Source organism: Homo sapiens, chromosome 2 (assembly GCF_000001405.40).
Source record: "Homo sapiens chromosome 2, GRCh38.p14 Primary Assembly".
In the NCBI taxonomy this organism is placed as follows: Eukaryota; Metazoa; Chordata; class Mammalia; order Primates; family Hominidae; genus Homo; species Homo sapiens.
The window spans coordinates 37,658,814-37,676,665 of record NC_000002.12 but is presented as its reverse complement, the minus strand read 5'-3'; the positions used below and the strand labels follow the sequence as shown (position 1 = coordinate 37,676,665).

Genomic DNA, 17,852 nt, shown 5'->3' with positions numbered 1-17,852 from the left:
ATGTAGAAGAATAAAGGGGGTACTGGGATAAGGAAGGCCATGGGTGATACTTTATCTAGGATGTCTTGGAAGGCAGGCCTCTGGGAGTTCAGATTTAAGCAGACATGGGAAGAAAGCTAAGGAGGGAGACATACAGGTATGTGGGGAAAGAACACATAACAAAGAGTACAATAGGCATGACTCAATCAATTATACCTCAGTAAAGCTGGAAAAAAAAGGAATGACTCATTCTATACAAAAGCCTTCTACTTTGCCTCAAATCCCTTCTGGAAAGAAGAAATGTGTAAATCAACCATAAATGCCTTACCTACCCAGCAAGAACAGAACGACCTAAAATGAAGATGAAATGAAAAAGTGTTTTTAGAAGTATAGAAGGCTATATAAATATACAGTAATGCTCTTTATTAGTCACTGGTTTACACTAACAGGATCAAGTATGCATCTATATTTGAAGGTCTTATGCACAAATTAAATTGGTGCTGGCCCAAGTTCAAGAGCTAATACAAATGCCAAAAACGTATTTGGTGGTTATGGTGAGTGACCGTGTAACCTGCTTAGAACTGTACCCTAGGCCTGTAGTCCTCATGCAAACATAGCCTCTCATAGTATATCTCATAGTATACCATTTCCTGCTGCATTTGATTAGGCAAAGCTGAAATCTCCCAACCAAGATGTGACCTAAATTTCTTTATTTACAAGGAAATCACTGGTTAGAAAATTCCTTAGCCTTGGCAATTAGTCAATCAAGTTCATTAGCAGAGGTTGACATATTTCCAGGACTGGTGAAATTTTAATTGGGTAGTAAGGAGGAGAATACTCAAGCTTTAAGGAAATTCTCATTCAAAATGTTCTAACCTTCCAGCTTCTCCTACATTTTCCTTAAATCTAACTTAGGGGGATAATCCAGACCATACACACATGAATTCAGCCTGGATGTGGCATTTTGGAAGAAAACCCCAGCTGAGTACACATGAATGTGTCTCAGCTTTGCCAGAAGAAAAATAGTTGTGCATTATACATGGACTATACAGACATTTTTTGTAAGTCTTACTTTAAAATGTTTGAATTTTCAAACTTAAAATGTTCCATGTGTTTAGTGTTTCTTGTTTCATTAGACTAAAGAGAAGTGGTTGAAAATTCAGTCTCAGCAAACATGTGGTATATTCCAAGAATGTTTCATATATTATGATTTCGTAGCTATAGAGTTGTAAACATGGCTTTTACACTCATTACTGGTTGTAGTTAAAAGATCATTTATTCAATAAACATTTATTGAGTACCTACTATATGCCAGGCCCTATTCTAGGCACAGGAGATACAGCAGCAAATAAAGTTCATACATTTAAGGAAACAGGCCATAAATGAATTTGTAAATAAATATAACGCAAGTAGTGAAGCAATTGTTCTTCCTGTTTTATTTAGGGAAAGGGAGTGTGGGAGGGGCTGCTATTTTAGAAAGAAAGCCTCTCCCTTGAAGTCTCATTTGAATAAAGATCTTAATGAGCCTTTTGCTGATTTGGGGAAGAATCCCCACACAGACAAGAGTGGGCCAGGCTCTGTTGTCGGGAGTGCCTGGAACAGCCTGAAGGCCAATGTGGCTGGGGCAGAGTGAGAGGTGAGCAAAGTAGTAGGAAATGAGATCTTATGTGAAACCCCCATGTCATAGGGTTCTTGCACACCCAAAGTGGAATGACTACTGAGTCCACAGTCTGGCTTCATTTTCTGGACGTTCAAGTGATGATAAGGAATTGCAAGGAAAGCCTGCTGTCAAACAACAATCTCCTCATTAAGTTTCACATGAACACATACAAAAAAGGACATTCTCTTTTTCCCTCTCAGGACCTTTGCATTTCAACAGCTTGAAATGCTCTTCTTTACTCCTCTTCCTATCAAATTCCCCAGGTTTAATTTAAGCTCTGCCCCCTGTGAGAATCTTCTCTTAACTCCTCCAGCTGACACTGAGTCAATCTTCTTTGTGACTAGGGGGTCTTAACCTAGGACTTCCCTGGCATCAATAGATTATTTACAGGAACTCTGAAACTGCATATGAAAAATTTTGTGTATCAATCAATATGCTTTTCCAAGGGTGCTCATAAATCCCATGAGATTTTCAAATGAGTTTGTAGCTTTGAAAGGTGGAGAACCACCAAGCACTCATGGACGGTGCTTCTCAAACATTAAATCTGCACGCAAACTATCCACATTTCATTAGACTGAAGATTCCAACTTGGTAGCCCTGGAGTGAGGCTTGGTGCTGCTGGTCCTGGGACCATACTTGGTAGCAAGAGACTAGAATGTGGTCAGCATTTGCTTGTGTACACTGGCAAGGTGCTCTCTGCACTTAGGTAGATCACAGGTTTCTGGACAGCAAGGGCACTGACAATACTACTTGGCTTTTCTCCCAAGTAGGGACTAATAGAAAAACAGCCCACTGTTGGGCCTGACAGGTGGTCTACAGATACCAGGCTTCTAAGGTTACCACCAAATGTTTTTAAGGCTAAACCTTTCCAAAATTCACAGCAGAATCTCAAAACTCCTAAAATCTTCCTGAAGCAAAGCTTTTTCCTCTCTTCCGGTAGTAGACTCCCATAACATGTTGAAACCTAAATCCATCAACTCTACAAGCTATCATAGTTAGCACAGGAAATGCACTCATTTGGAAGAATAATTCACTATATGAGGGATCAGTTACTCACTGAAGATGTTCAGTACAAAGAAATAACGTGAGGCACAGGGCATGGTGGCTCATGCCTGTAATCCCAGCACTTTCGGAGGCTGAGGCAGAAGGATCACTTGAGGCCAGGAGTTTGAGACCCTGGGGGAAAAAAAAAAAAAAGGAAAGGAAGGGAAGGGGAGGGGAGGGAAGCGGAGGGGTGGGGAGGGGAGGGCAGGGGAGGGGTGGGGAGGCGAGGCCAAAGGAGCCAAGATAAATCAAACCACCAGGCCCTTGAATGAGCAGGTCCTGGATAACTGTTTAGAGTCCAGCAGTGAAGTCTCATTTAAAAACGGCAGAGGGAGAGAAAGCCTCTAAAAGGCAAGGGATAATGTAGAAAAGTAAAAATAGGTTTTAGAATAAAAATGCCGTTTCAGACAAACTGCCACTCTATATTTGCAAAAACTGTAAAAGAAGTTATTTATTTGGCCATGTAGAAATAAAGTGCTTTTAACAGCAGCTAACAATAGATCACGTGAAAAAAATTACATACAAGACATGTGTGTCGGGAATGTCTTTATGTGTTCAAAAGGAATTTTGCATGTGGTATTTTATATATATACACATATTATTTGGACTTATAAAATACCCTATGTAATGAAAACTATGCATAAATATTTATAAAAATACCTTTTTCTAAGTAGGCCAGGAACATTTAATATTTTTCAATAAATTAATATATAAAATATATACATTAGTGCCAAATGGAACATATATTTTGAAATATGAAACCCAAGTAAAATGCTCAGGAATCTGGAGTAGAATCCAGGTATCTGCCAAAGGAAACTTTGGACGAGTTGTCTTTTGAAGAAGGGAAACAATGCTGGGTCTCTTATCTTCACGGACTGTTTTTGCTTGTCAAACTTCTAACATCACTTCAGCCGAGTTTCGTATTTGACTTCCAACCTCATGGCCATTTGACCTGCCAACTACTATTTTTCTTTGAGGCTTTTAACACCCCACCCAAGTATTTTGCTTTCCAGATTGTGTGCGTTTCCTTTTCACTTCACCTTAAAGTCAGCCTGGGTTTACAACATCGGCTTAAGGCGCACCCTCTAAGGTTTCAGACAGACCCAGGGCACCGCGGTGATGACCTGAAGCTGATATCTCTCGGCAAAGCCAAGGTATCCGGGAGGTTCTCCGCGTTGTGCCAGGATTTCCATCCAACCCGAGAGTCTCAGGGCAGAGGCCAGGCCCCCAGCGTCCGACTCCCAGGGGTCCCAGCCCCCTCCCCTGGCTGACCATGCGGGCTGGGACCTCCCAGCCGGAAAACACCGCCCTTTCCTGTCGCCTACTCCTTCCCCAGGCCGACGACTCGCGGAGGAGGAAGAGACGGAGGCCGATTAAGAAAATTAGCATTCATTAACCCGGTTCACGCTCCGGCCCCGGCGGAGGGGAGGGGCGCGCCGGGCGGCGGCGCTGGCGGTGGCCGGGTGACCGGCGGGCGCAGGTGCCACCGCGGCCTGAATTTTACTCTCTCGGGCCGGCAGCTGCGCCACTTGCGCCTCGTCGCGCGTCTGGGGCAGCCGCCACCGGCTTGCCCCAGCTTTAGGCAAATCCTTTTGAAAGACCCTGAGGGAGAAGAAACGCCTCCCTCTGGGTAGGAGAACCTGTAGCGTCTGCTGTTCGTCGCGTGTCCAGTTGCTCAGCCGGGAGCTCCGGCATCTTCAGGGCGCTTATTCCACTCTCCGGGTTTTGGCTGCAGCTCTGAGGGGAGCGAGCTAGAAACTGACAGAACGCGACCCTCCCCCTCCGCGCCCACCGGAGCCCGGGCTGAGAGGGACCTGGGGAGCTGCGGCCTGGCCGGGGCGGCGCACTCAGGTGGCCTCGCTTCCCTGCGGGTCACCGCCCGCCACTCGCACAGCTAGGTCGGCCTGTTGGGATCGGGAGAGGTGGGCGCACGAGTTTTAGTGCGGGAGTCCGGGGTGCGGGCGGAGTCCTATTGTCCCCGTGCACCCGGGCGGCAGCACCTCCGGGTCCCTCTTTAAACCGAGCGTCCGGCGACCTTTCTTTGTGCTTAGGGAGTCGAAAGCGGCATCTTCTCCGAGAGAAGTCGCCTACTGGGGGGTGGCGCTGGGGAGGTAACAATGGGCGCCCATTGTCCTCCGAGGGTCCAACGGTGACCCCCCCCCGCGCGCGCGCCCGGCCACCGGTTGGCCCCGGGCCAGGGCACAGGTACCGCGGCTGGGAGGGTCGGCCCCGCTGCCCGCGCCCTCCGCCCCGCCCCAGTGAGTCCCCGCGCCGCCGGCCCCGCCCCGCGCCGCCCCGCCCTCCGCAGGTTCAGTCCTCGCGTCCGGCCGCCCCGCGCTCAGTCGCGCGCACCTTCTCTCGCGGCCGGGGGACCGCAGCGCGGGGCTAGCCCGGAGACCCGGCCACCGGCCTGGGGCGCCTTCACGCCGTCTCGGAGCGGATAATGCGGTGAGCAGGCACCACGCCGGCAGACTCGGCTGGATCTGCGCACAGCGGCAGGGATTGCGTGCGCCCGCGGGAGGCCCGGGGCAGCGGCTGGGATCCTCAGCGGCGGCCGGTGAGTCGGGGCAGCCCAGGGCTCCTTCCTCTCTACCTGTCTGTGAGTCTGTCCCGCCCGCGGCCGTGGCCGCTTCCGGCGTGCGCTGGTGTTAGGCTGGGAAACCAGCAGGGAGTCGGGATACCCAGGGCATCGCTTTCCCATCTAGTGTCCAACGGAACGAAGGGGACATAAAGCAAGCCAGGAGGGGGTCCGGCGGCACGACCAGGACTCAGAGCTCCACCATTTGTGCCCACTACTTTTCAGGGTGGGGCTGCGCGGCCACATTGCACCCTCCGAGCTATTGGCAGAGCCATTCTGGGCGCGTATAGCATTTTTCCATCTGAGAACAAGCCGCGCTTGGCTACCGCGCCCCTCGCATCATGGATTGGTACCAGGGCCGCACATGGGTGCATCGCACAGCTCTGCCGTGGCATCGCCTGCCCGGTGCCCTCCTCTTTCTTAATGGAGGACATTGTTAGTGGGGCGCCAACCTGCAGATCTGGATATTGACTTTTTTGTTTTTTGACGGTGAACAGCTGAGACGTTTACAAGGTTTTTTGTTTTTTGTTTTCTTCCCTTTCTCCTTGAAACTAAGTGGCTTGACACAGACAAGTATCAGACATGTGAGGATGAATGGATCTGGCCATTTTTTCGTTATGAATTATTATACTCTATCCCTCTCTCGACTTTGGGAGGCATGTGTTTCATCTTATAAATAGAAAGTAGCATATTTTTGGGCAGGATCTCCTTTATACTGTGCAGTCTAGGAGAGGTCAGTTTAAAAATAAATATGCACTTGAATGTTACATTACTGAGAGCCAGGCTGTGGCTGGGACAAGCTGCGTGGACAGCAGCATCAAAGCCGGGAGCGCAGCTGTGTTGAAAGGAGTAAAAGCCCCAGAGTGCAGCCTAGGCTGACAGTCAAGTAATTACATTTTGTTTAAAAAAAAAAAAAAAAAAAGTGAGCGAATTAAAATGAGGAATGTCAGGAGGGTATTGCAACATGAATCTTTCCAGCCCTGGCGTATTTGGAGGAGTGGGCTGCTGCTGTGTGCTGAGGTTGTAGGGGGGCTCTAGGGAGGGAACTGATGAATGTGTTAGGGAGACAAAGATTCCATCCCCATCTCCCAGCTCTTAATTCTCACAATATCCAAGAGTTTCTTGGGAGTACTGCCTTTTAAAAGGAACAAAAATTAGGAGAGCAGCAGATGTCTGTATTTTAATAGCAAAGCCAGTTTTAGGGACTTCCTGTTAACATCACAGGGAGAAAAAAGACTCACCAGGAACCAGCGATGATGCCCCAAAGGTATCCCTAAGACAATTTAAAAGGCTCCTGTAATGTTCTAATTTACACAAGCTCTTTCATCTTAAAACCAGGAAATGTACCTTCTCTTCTTTTCTGGACAGTTCCAGAAGTCTACTCTTTCATACCCCCTGCAATTTGTGTGAGCTCTTATTGGTAGTTAATAAGCTACACAGGTATGTGTGTGATGCATACCCTTTTCAGAATAGATTTAGACACTCAGAAATAAGTTGGAGTAGTTGTGAAATATTTAGCATTTTCATATGTGAAATAAATGATAAAGGCCCTTTCTATAGTCAAGGAATGGTTGAAATTCTTCATAAAGTCTCCCAAAGAATGCGGGTTTCCCAATGGGCCTCACCCATTTGAATAAAACAGCACCAGCCTCTGGGCTCACAGATAAGAACTTTAGAGGAGAAATTTGGAAGCATTTCTGGATCCATGGCAGTTTCTGTTTTCCAATGGCATCATCTGCTAGAGATTTACATGATGAATTCTATGATTAGAACATGGTGCTGAGGCTGTGGCAGCAGCTACAGGCTTGAAATGAGATGAGCTCCTCTTTCCCTCAATCTGAGCAGTGAAATTGTTTCACGTATCTCTATGGAACAAGTAAAAGCAGCTAGAGTAATAAGTGTTGCACACTTTTTGCTTTTTATTGCACATTTAAGTGCGGTGCAAGATGAATAAATACAAAGCCGTAACAGTGATTGCAGAAGGGCTCACATGAGTTCATTTGCCCTGTCTGCGCTCCAGCCTTTCCTTTAATGTGGTGTTTTGTTTTATGTCCAACATGCTCACAAAAGCTGTGCTTTTTTCATGTATAAAGTTCCTGGTATTCAACAGTGTTGGGGATAAAATTGCTTTCACCTGTATCACCCAAAGATTTTTTTTTTTTTTTTTTTTTAGCCAGGCCATAGATTTTTCACAAATTCTTTGACCATTAACTGTAACATTTATCCAGTGGGTGGAATATAATTCGTAACCTAAAAACCTCCAAGAAGACTGCTCTGATCGTATTATTATTATTATTATTGTTATTCAGATTCTTGCTTTCAGTCAGATTTTATCTAGGCCCAGTCTCATTTCTTACTAACCAGAATCCTGTGAACCTGTATTTCTTTTCATTGATTGAATGAGAAATCTATTTTTAAATGCAGTATGTTTGCCAGAGAACAAGGATAGCCATTTGAAAATACTGGATTCAGCCAGCCACAAAATCTTGTGTGCCTCACCAAGCCATAGAAGACCAAGAATTTTCCTAATATATTGCATTGTTCATTACTTTGGATGTTAAAAGCACTTCCTAAGTGGAGCCCGTCCTATGTGTCAAGCACTCTTCTCAGCCTTTTGTCTTGATTATCTTACTTGTTTCTAGCAATCATCTAATGAAAGAACCGTTGTATCCCCATTTTGCTGGTGTAGAGACTGAGGATAGACCAGTTATATAACTTACCCAAAGTTGTGCAGTAAGCAAAACCTAAACATGCGTGTGCAGTTTAACAACACAATATGTGCAGGCATGAGTGGCTAATCCTATGTGAAAGTCAGCAGCTCTTTGGGTTAAGGGGATGGGAAAAAAAACTGAACTTCTGAAGCCTCCGAGTCAGGCTGCCTGGGCACATGTCCTAGTTCTGGCACTTAACACCTGTGTGACTTTGGGCAAGTTACCTCACCTTTACCTCAGTTTATCCTTTGTAAAATGGAGATAATATTATTTCCCTGAGGATTAAAGGAGTTAAAAAAGATTATGTACTCAGAACAGTGCCTGGCCCAGAGTAGCCACAATAAAAGGTTGAGGTTTTCAATGTTGCTTTTGTTTTTTTCCTAGGTACTTAATACTGGTTCTGTCATGTAATATTCATAACTATTCTTTGAGAGAGATAGTACAGTGGTCCCCAATTACCCGTGGTTTTCTTTTCCAGGGTTTCAGTTACCCATAGTCAACCATGGTCTGAAAATAGGTGAATATGGGGCATTTTAAGAAAGAAAGAGACCATATTCATGTAATTTTTATTACATTGTTATAATTATTCTATTGTTAATCTCTTACTGTGCCTACTTTACAAATTAAACTTTATAACAGGTATGTATGTATAAAAAACAACATAGTATATATGGGGTTCAGTACTGTCCAAGGTTCAGGCACCCACTGGGGGTCTTGGAACATATCCGTGGAGGATAAGGCAGACTATTATATTGCTCTTCTTTTCCAGATGAGAACACAGGCTCAGAAAGGTTTAGTAACGTGGCCAAGGTCACACAGCTAAATAGCAGAAGCAGGGTTTGAACTCAGGTCTTTTTGACCTTATACTAAATACCACACCCCCACCAATGGGGAGGAGGGGCAGAGAAGTTGTTAAATCTGATTTTTGTTATGACTTTTGGCCTCTGGCAAGGAAATAATTTCATATCACCCTGTATCTCACAGTTGAAGATGACAGTAATTGCCAGCCTTGAGGAACACTATGTAAATTATTTTATTATTAAAGATGATTCAATCCCACATATGTGGCATGAAAGTGGATCTAGCATGAACACTGCTAGGGTTAACATAAGCAGTTTAATTTATGCCATAAACGAAGAGATTTACTAGGTGAAAATGTGGGACTATATGGTGAGAAAGCAAGCCAAGCCACAGCCAGGGACAAGGACTTCTGGTGGCTGGGGATGAAGTGAAGCTCTAGCATAGACTGTGTGCTCGCTTCAAAATTCTGGGGAGCCCGGGGTTGCAGAGTCCAGTAACCACCTGTGGACAATCCCCTCCTTGAAGGCAGGAACCACACTACCTGGGCCTTCAGTCCCGGCACTCAGTGGACGTTTTAGTCCATGTTTGTTGATGATGTTGCTGCAAGAACTCAGCAGAAGAGGAGCTACAGGTAAAGTGAACAGAAAGGCACTGGGCTGTGTCCATGGCAGAAGTCAAGCCCTGTTACAGTTCAGCATATCCCCTGGGCCCTGCTAGATAAGAAACACACAACAAGGAAACCTTTGAAACCTTGTCCTTACTGCTTGCCCCGGAAAACCCACAGGGCCTGCCTTGGCCTCCACTGCTTTGATGCTCTGGGTTTGTGATTAGCTGTGGGGATCAGCTCCAGAGACTTCTCAGATGGAAACAGGGTTCTGGAAAGGACAGTCCGAAGTAACTCAGGTAGCCTCAAAGCCAATGGTTACAGTCTTGGAGCTGTCCAATTCCATTTGAAATCTTCTCCTGTCCCCACCTCTTAAAGGCTACAAAACAAAACAATACCCCACAAACCAGAATAAGTAGCCATGTAGTTCTAAAGCAATAGTCAGGTGTGTTTCTTTCCTTAAAAAAAAAAAAAAGCTTTCTCCTTGATATACTTCAGTGCCAAGTTTCATCAGAATCACATGATGATGGACTGAATTTGACAGTACCTCTGGTAGAAAAGCAGTTTTCAAATTTTAACCATACAGTTTTATAATACAAAGCATGATGCTGAGATTTAAAAGATTACTATTTCTAAATAGCCAAGTAAACTGTGTGAAAGCTGATGAGTTCCAAACTAGTGTTTGCTTAGTCCTTACTGCTTGCCTAAGTCATGAATTAATAGAATTCTAGAATCCCAAATTTAAAACTTTTTAAAAAGGATTTTCAGTGGATTGGGTTTTATTTCCATATTGGATAAAGTTATTATTAGCCTTCTAGCCTTTGGCCCTTTGTTAAACCATGTTGCAGAGATCACACACCTGCAATTAGGTAACAGGGTACCGCCTAAAGTGTACCTCGAGCCATGAATGTCATAAAAGTATTCTGTGGGACCCCAGTTTGATGAAGGTCCCTTTCTGCAGGACTTCTCAGAACATTTAAAAAGCCAGTGTATATAGTGAATCTCCACAGGGAGGTCGTGTCCAGAGTTTCTCAAATGGTTTTGCCCACTGAGCAGCTGCAGGACCAGCCTGGCAGGAAACACACTCTGGGAAACACAGAACAGAAGCTACATAACCGCAGTATGTCCTACAGAGCCGAAGCAACCCAGGGACATTTTAGTTAGAGAACCACAGGCGTTACAGGAAGAGAGCGATGAGGATGTACCAGGAGATCCTGGCAAACGCTGATAAAACTAATGGAGAATTAAGTGAGGGCAATCAAAAGGGGTGTCTGTGTGTAGAAATAGAGATTAAAAAAATACCAATTCTGGTCTTAGCTCTGACCCAAATTGTATAACCTTGACCTCTTGGGGTTTTCTTGTTCTCATCCCTAAAACGTAGCATTTGGTGAGAGATGATCTCAGATAATCTCTGGCTCCAGAACAGTGAGCCAGGATCAGTGGCACCTATTAGCATAGCTATCTTACTACTAATAATGTAAGACTCTGGGTTGAAAAACAGACCCGTGCAGATCTCTGGCAGAGCAGCCTGAGCAAGCGTGGAAGGCAGGGAACTTCCAAGTCAGGCCTCTATTTAGACAGCTTCCACATTTGGGAATCCGTCATGTTCTGGTGACAACCTGAAGGTCCTATTTGTAGACACATCATGCCAATGATAGATCGTTGTCATGAGTTTAGTTGAAAAAGAGCTTTTCTGTCCAAATACATCATAATCATTTAGGCTACATACATTTTTTAAAACAAGCAGAGGCATTTTTGGTGAAATGTGGCTTTGCCATTCAGAATGTGTTTGATTTCTCAACCTTTTTATTTATTTTTTAAACTTTTGTTTTGCCAAGGGTCAGTTCAGACTTAAAACATTGATTTTAACACAGCGGGAGATGAGGCTCTAAGCCTTTGGCTGACCAGCTAGTCAGAAAACAAATCCTTCCCCTTCTCTGGGCAGGCTCCATCCCATCACCTGTGAAAAAAAATGGCAGAGTGGGAGGGTGGGGATGGGAAGGGAGGCCAGAGAAGTGTGTGGATGTTCCCCAGGCCCTCTCCTGGCCCTAAACTGTGATTCTGTTCCTCTTTTTTCTTGTATCAGAGGCATTTCCATAGTGTCTTGTATCTTCTCCTATTGTAACACTTACTACATTTAAGTTATCTTTATATATATATAAAGGGGAGTTTATTAAGGAATGTTGACTCACATGATCATAAGGTGAAATCCAGTAATAGGCCTAACTTTTAGGTCCGGGGCTACATGTGCAGGTTTGTTACGGAGGTAAACTCATGTCACGGGGTTTTGATGTACAGATCATTTCATCACCTAGGTACTAAGCATAGTACCTGATCATTAGTCTTTCTGATCCTCTCCCTCCTCCCGCCCTTCCCCCTCAATTAGGCCCCAGTGTCTGTTGTTTCCCTCTTTGTGTCCATTTGTTCTCATTTAGCTCCCACTTACAAGTGAGCACATGCGGTATTTGGTTTTCTGCTCCTGCGTCAGTTTGCTAAGACTAATGGCCTCCAACTCCATCCATGTTCCTGATTGACGCAAGTGCCTGCCTAATTAGACTACCGGCTCCTCAAGGATAGGGACTGAATCTCATTTATCTTGTCATTCATCTTTGCTGCAGTAGGACTTAATGACAAAGTGGGCAGTATAGCCCTTGCTATACTATCTGATTCTTTCTGTAGCATATCTCCTCAGTTGTTGTCAGGTCAGAAATCTTTGTCGCTTACTTGCTGTATTAGTCAGGGTTCTCTAGAGGGACAAGACTAACAGGATAGATGTATATATAAAGGGGAGTTTATTAAGGAGTGTTGACTCACATGATCATAAGGTGAAATCCCATAATAGGCTGTCTGCAAGCTGAGGAACAAGGAAGTTAGTCCAAGTCCCAAAACCTCAAAAATAGGGAAGCCAACAGTGCAGCCTTCAGTCTGTGACCAAAGGCCTGAGAGCCTTCTGGCAAACCACTGGTGTAAGTCCAGGTCCAAAAACTGAAGAACTTGGAGTCTGATGTGTGAGGGCAGGAAGCATCCAGCACGGGAGAAAAATGAAGGCCAGAAGACTCAGAAAGTCTAGTCCTTCCACGTTCCTCTGCCTGCTTGTTTTGTTTTGTTTTGTTTTGAGATGGAGTCTCACTCTGTCGCCCAGGCTGGAGTGCAGTGGCGCAGTCTCGGCTCACTGCAAGCTCCGCCTCCCAGGTTCACGCCATTCTCCTGCCTCAGCCTCCCAAGTAGCTGGGACTACAGGCACCCTCCACAACGACCGGCTAATTTTTTGTATGTTTAATAGAGACGGGGCTTCACCGCCTTAGCCAGGATGGTTTCCATCTCCTGATCTCATGATCTGCCCGCCTCAGCCTCCCAAAGTGCTGGGATTACAGGCATGAGCCACCGCGCCCGGCCTCCTCTGCCTGCTTTTATCCTAGCCACGCTGGCAGCTGATTAGATGGTGCCCACCCAGATTGAGGATGGGTCTGTGTCTCCCAATTCACCGACTCAAATGTTAATCTCCTTTGGCAACACCCTCACAGACACACCCAGGAACAATACTTTGCATCCTTCCATCAAGTCGACACTCAGTATTAACCACCACACTAGCTTATTTTTAAGTCCTGCTGTAGTAAAGTTACTCCTTCCCAGGCTACAGAACATTCAAATGCAAGGGGAGTCACCCCAGTCATTTGGTTGTGGTGATAGAGATCATCTGCGGGCCCTGTGGAAATAGGTCAAGCCCCTGCTGGAACCTTCTCAAGATCTCCGCGGAGAGATTGGCAACCCCCACCAATGCTTTCTCGTGCCCTGGGAGTGACTGAGGCAACTTGGCACCCATGTGTCCACTTAGAGCACAGAGTAAGGGTCCTTGTATTTCCTATTGCTGCCTAGACCTCTCGCCAGCCATTAACGAATAAATAAACATGAGCCATTTATTTATTTGTTATATTAGCGTCAGTCTCTCCACAGTGGAGTGCATCATTGCTGCGGCCTCAACTTCTAGAATAGTGCCTGGCACTTAGTAGGCCCTCCATGGATGTTTGTTGTTGAACACATGAGGGACCAGCCAGGGGCTGGGGAGGCACATGGAAGGTTGGTTTGTTTTTTTTGTTTTGTTTTGTTTTGTTTTGTTTTTGAGACCGAGTTTCACTCACTCAGTTGCCCAGGCCAGAGTGCAGTGGCACAGTCTTGGCTTACTACAACCTCTGCCTCCCGGGTTCAAGAGATTCTCCTGCCTCAGCCTCATGAGTAGCTGGGATTACAGGCACCCGCCACCACACCCAGCTAATTTTTGTATCTTTAGTAGAGACTGGCTTTCACCGTGTTGGCCAGACTGGTCACGAACTCCTAACCTCAGGCGATCCGCCCGCCTCGGCCTCCCAAAGTGCTGGGATCACAGGTGTGAGCCACCGCACCTGACTGTGAAAGGCTTTCTAAAGCTGGCTTCCCATGGGTTGAACTGGCGAGAGGCACATGGCTCACTCTGTGCATGTCGCAGCACCAACTAGAGCCTGTTTTCTTGCTCTCAGACGGCTTCAGAATGAAATGTCTTCCTAAAGAGTGTTGATTTTTGGCCTTCTATTAAGTTTAGTGTAAGTTTATGCTGGTGATGGGGATTTGTTTTATATTCCTTGTGGGCTCACCCTGGGATGGTGGTGCTTTACTTGCCAGCCTGGGGGAGTGAGGTTCAGAGAGAGGTCTCTCAGGGTGGTGCAGGGAGTAAAGCAGGGACTTCTTTCAAATTCCGTTCTTTTTTCAGAATGGGGAATTAGACTATTGAACCCAGAACATTTGGGAGTTTTTCACACTGTATTTAAAACAATCAGTTTAGGTGGCCAGATCCCAAGGTCTAAAAGGAGTAAGGTTAAAAGGAATCCCCACCATGAGCTTCCAGCTCATCTTCTTCCTTATGCAGCTCCAGCTTTTTGGGGTAATTTATAATGAACATTACCCCTTCCATTGATATGGGCTCATTGCCTGCCAGGTGCTTTGCCAAGCACTTTATGCTCGTTGTTACCCAGGAAGACTCCCACCTTTGCCATTTGCACTTCACAGATGGGGACACTGAAGCTCCCAAAGGGAGTCACTACATGGCTCAGGACCCTTAATTTAATACCAGGAAGGATGGGAAAGGGTGATGAAAATTGTATTCGCTGGTAAAAAGTATTTTGATTCTAAGGCTAGTCTTACTTTCCTTAAAAACATTACTTTTTTTTTTTCTTTTTTGGAAACTTCCTAGACGCTAGATGTTTCTGCAAATAGAATCACAGAGCCCTACCATTTGACAGATGGAAGGGACCTTATCTCAGCCCCAGTCTCATTCTGACATGATAAAACCAAGGCCTTAAGTGTTTAAGTGACACAGAGCATGAATCTTCCTCCTAGGCCCAGCTCTGTCGAACTTTTTTTTAAGCCAAGGAAAAGAAAATCTTAAGCCTGATATATAAACAGATAATAACATAATTTCTTTGGTTAAAAAGGAGAGAGATTGGCCCTACTTATCACGTATTTAAGAAAATAACAACATGCCCTTTTGTTTTTTCTCTTCTCTCATACATCACTAATTCTGGTGGGGTCTGTCCAGAGTCCGTCAGATGGCTATGACTTTTTCAGCCACCTCCTCGTGCTGTCAGCTCCCGGTAGCCTTGCCGTCCAGTTTATAACGCCAGCAGCCAGAGCCTGCACCATTCTGCGCAAATGGGATTATATAATTAATGTTAACCCAAAAGCAGGACTTCTATTCATCATCATTCAGTTCATTCCTGTGGGCTTCATCCAGCCCCGGCTCTCGGTCCAGGTAATTCTGGACCCCAGTTAGCCACTGGCACAATGAAGCTCCCTCTACGTCTCCTGTTTATCTTTAGATTTGATAAGTGCATCTCCTGTGTCTTCCAAGTCACTTGCCCTATTAATAAGATCCCTTTAAGGCTTGGCTAAAATTGGCAGATTACAAGTAATTGACCCATCTAGCAACTGTGTCATGTATGTAAGCAAGTGAGGTGCCAGTGAACTTTTTATCAGTGCCTACTGAGCATATATCCCCTAAGTGTTCAAAACCCAGACCTTTACTGAAGATACATGTGATAGTAGTCACAAGTAATTGTCTCTTCTTTTTGGAAAATCAAATCATTTGCCTGTGTGTGTATATATATATACACACACTATACACACACGCACACACACACACACACACTGTACACACACACTATATATAGTATACATACATATGCATACATACATACTACTCCCTATAGTTTTTCACAAGGTTTTCATAAATGGTTTCATGATCAAAAGGAAATAAGTGATTTCAGGACCTTAGGCTCTTCCTTACTCATCAAGCCTGGAAATCTGGACTCCCATATGGTATGAAGTCCCTTCCAATGATTACTGGTCCACTCTGGCCTTCCATTTCCCTTTGACAGGGTTAGTTGTGCACACTCCCTAACCCTACACCCTCCAGATCCCATCATTTCCAGGTCTGCTACTTTGAGGTTCATTCCATTTTTTTTTTTTTTAACCTTAAGGTAGACGCAAAATAGAAGTTGAATAAATCAGAGAAGGTAACATTCCCCTTTGGTCTCAGCTTCCTTTTTCCTTAAAAAGTAAAACCAAATGAACAAAAGTAAAACCAAAGTAACTTAAAATGAAATTTAAATGGAAGTAAAAGGATTTTCCTCTTAAAATCATCCATAAGATAAAGTAAGTGGGTCAACAGAGAATTTAGGAGAAAAAAAATGTTAGATTGTTTGTATTTATTTATGTCTTAAGGTCAGGGGCTACTGTAAGAGATCCCAAGTTGGTATGAAAACACCACTTTTATCTGACCTATATAGCAGTTGTTGTAATTTTCCCAACTCCGGGACGTTTCATTTGTTCCTAAGGCTGGAAGAGCCCCAACTGAAGATAACCGATGCATGTAGGTGTGAATGAGAAGATAGCCCCAGCCCTATGTCCCATTGACAGGGGAATTAACTTCTAATCAAGCTGGTGGTAGGAATCCCTTCCAACTGTGGAGACTGTCCACAGGATCAATAGGAACCATTTTAGCCTCATCTGCAACAATTTTATTAATGAGTGGTACAGGCGAAATTTAAGGAGAAAATAGAAGTGTTTATTTTGGCAATGAGAATAGTTTCCCCTCCACTCTGTATTTCAGTAGATAGTCTGGTCTCATTTGGGGAAAAGATAATGCCTTGTGTTTACATAGCACTGTAGATTTTAACACTCAGCTCTAACACCTGTGGTTATTATAAAGTTTGGGATGATTATCTCCATTTTACATGAAGGTAACTGGTACCCAGTGTATCAGGGCTTCTGCGTCTTACAGGGCTGGCTCATAGTTTTGGTCCAGCTCTTCCCCCGCTCAGGCCAGGAACAGCAGTGAGATAGCAGTTTCGTTGGCCCGTACAGTCGGTGTTTCATTTGGTTTGGTTTGGCAAATGTTTTGATAGGTTTATTTTTCCCCACATATCTGATCTGTGCCAGTCACACATTGATCTTCCAAACAACCCTTTTCTATAGACTGTCCATTGTAGTTTCTTGAGGTTTCCTTGTACATTTTAGGCCAAATGAGCCAAGTTCTCCCTTAACACATCTCCTTTTGAAAAGAGAAAAGAGCAAGTTCATTGTTTCTCCAGGGCCTCATTCTTTAAGTTTGATTTAAGTAGAGTCACTGAGTTTGAATTCAGAGGACTGTATTGTCAAATTTTCTTTGAGTCTTACCTAAGACACTATTTGCACATTGCATTCAGGGATAGGAGTCATATCTCTTTCAAACAGCATGTCCACAAATATTTGCCTTAAGATCTATATTTTTTATCTGTATATTTGCCAAAGATCTGTATGGTCCTGTAGAATTACTCTGGCTTGCATTGATACACTGTTAAATTATTACCCTGCATGGATAGGGGAAGGTTAAAATGGCTTACAGATGGAAAAATGAAAGCCTTTGCCACAAGAAAAGAGGAGACAGCTTCTTGTTACATGTTTGTTTTCTTCTGTAAGAATCATAGATTCCATCTTGCATTTTCAATAGAGCAGGCAGGGTTAAAGAGGAAGAGGCACAGCAATGTCTTTCAAGCTTTCTCATTTGTTTATCCATTCAACATTTTTTTCAATACCTGCTATGAATAAGATCTCCGTTCTCTCTCCCAGATTATAGCCTGATTGGGGAAGAGTTAAATAAGTAGTGGTAATAATCCAGTGTGATAGTTGCTAGGTTTGAGGTGTACACAGGACGCTATGGGAGCTTAGGATGCCATGGGGAACTGGCAGGAGATTCAGTTGCAAGTGTGGCAGGCCCCCCAGATTGCTGAAGTGGGCTTCACAAGCTATTTTATCTTATCTCCAAGCTGTAGCCTTAAAACCCTTGAAAGGTTTTAAAGCAGAGAGTGATAAGGTTACATGAGGATTCTAGGTACCTCACTCTGGTGTAGATTGGAAGATAAGGTGGAAGGACCGGGGAGGCAGGGAGGTAGGTGAAAGGCAAAT

The 17,852-nt window shown here is 44.6% G+C and overlaps 1 protein-coding gene across 6 annotated transcripts in view, besides 4 other annotated features; it reads left to right on the top strand.

The window, feature by feature from the left end:
- The first annotated feature begins 3,716 nt into the window (after positions 1-3,716).
- The window catches only part of CDC42EP3 (CDC42 effector protein 3), a 31,006-nt gene continuing 16,870 nt past the window's right edge, over positions 3,717-17,852 (top strand). The window contains exon 1 of one of the 6 annotated variants that reach the window (NM_001371569.1): positions 3,717-3,837. The gene's annotated coding sequence lies outside the window, so the exon portion shown is untranslated. Of the gene's footprint in view, positions 3,838-4,210; positions 4,314-4,446; positions 4,606-5,023; positions 5,241-17,852 lie in introns of those variants that run through there. The other 5 variants (NM_001270436.2, NM_001270438.2, NM_001270437.2 and 2 more) reach the window with 5 other exon arrangements.
- Positions 4,046-4,215: a silencer, noted in NCBI's record as "silent region_11364". NCBI's record gives its function as "represses an Ori minimal core promoter by ATAC-STARR-seq in GM12878 lymphoblastoid cells {active_cell/tissue: GM12878}" and the evidence as "EXISTENCE:reporter gene assay evidence [ECO:0000049][PMID:35858748]".
- Positions 4,436-4,505: a silencer, noted in NCBI's record as "silent region_11363". NCBI's record gives its function as "represses an Ori minimal core promoter by ATAC-STARR-seq in GM12878 lymphoblastoid cells {active_cell/tissue: GM12878}" and the evidence as "EXISTENCE:reporter gene assay evidence [ECO:0000049][PMID:35858748]".
- Positions 4,516-4,575: a silencer, noted in NCBI's record as "silent region_11362". NCBI's record gives its function as "represses an Ori minimal core promoter by ATAC-STARR-seq in GM12878 lymphoblastoid cells {active_cell/tissue: GM12878}" and the evidence as "EXISTENCE:reporter gene assay evidence [ECO:0000049][PMID:35858748]".
- Positions 4,746-5,235: a silencer, noted in NCBI's record as "silent region_11361". NCBI's record gives its function as "represses an Ori minimal core promoter by ATAC-STARR-seq in GM12878 lymphoblastoid cells {active_cell/tissue: GM12878}" and the evidence as "EXISTENCE:reporter gene assay evidence [ECO:0000049][PMID:35858748]".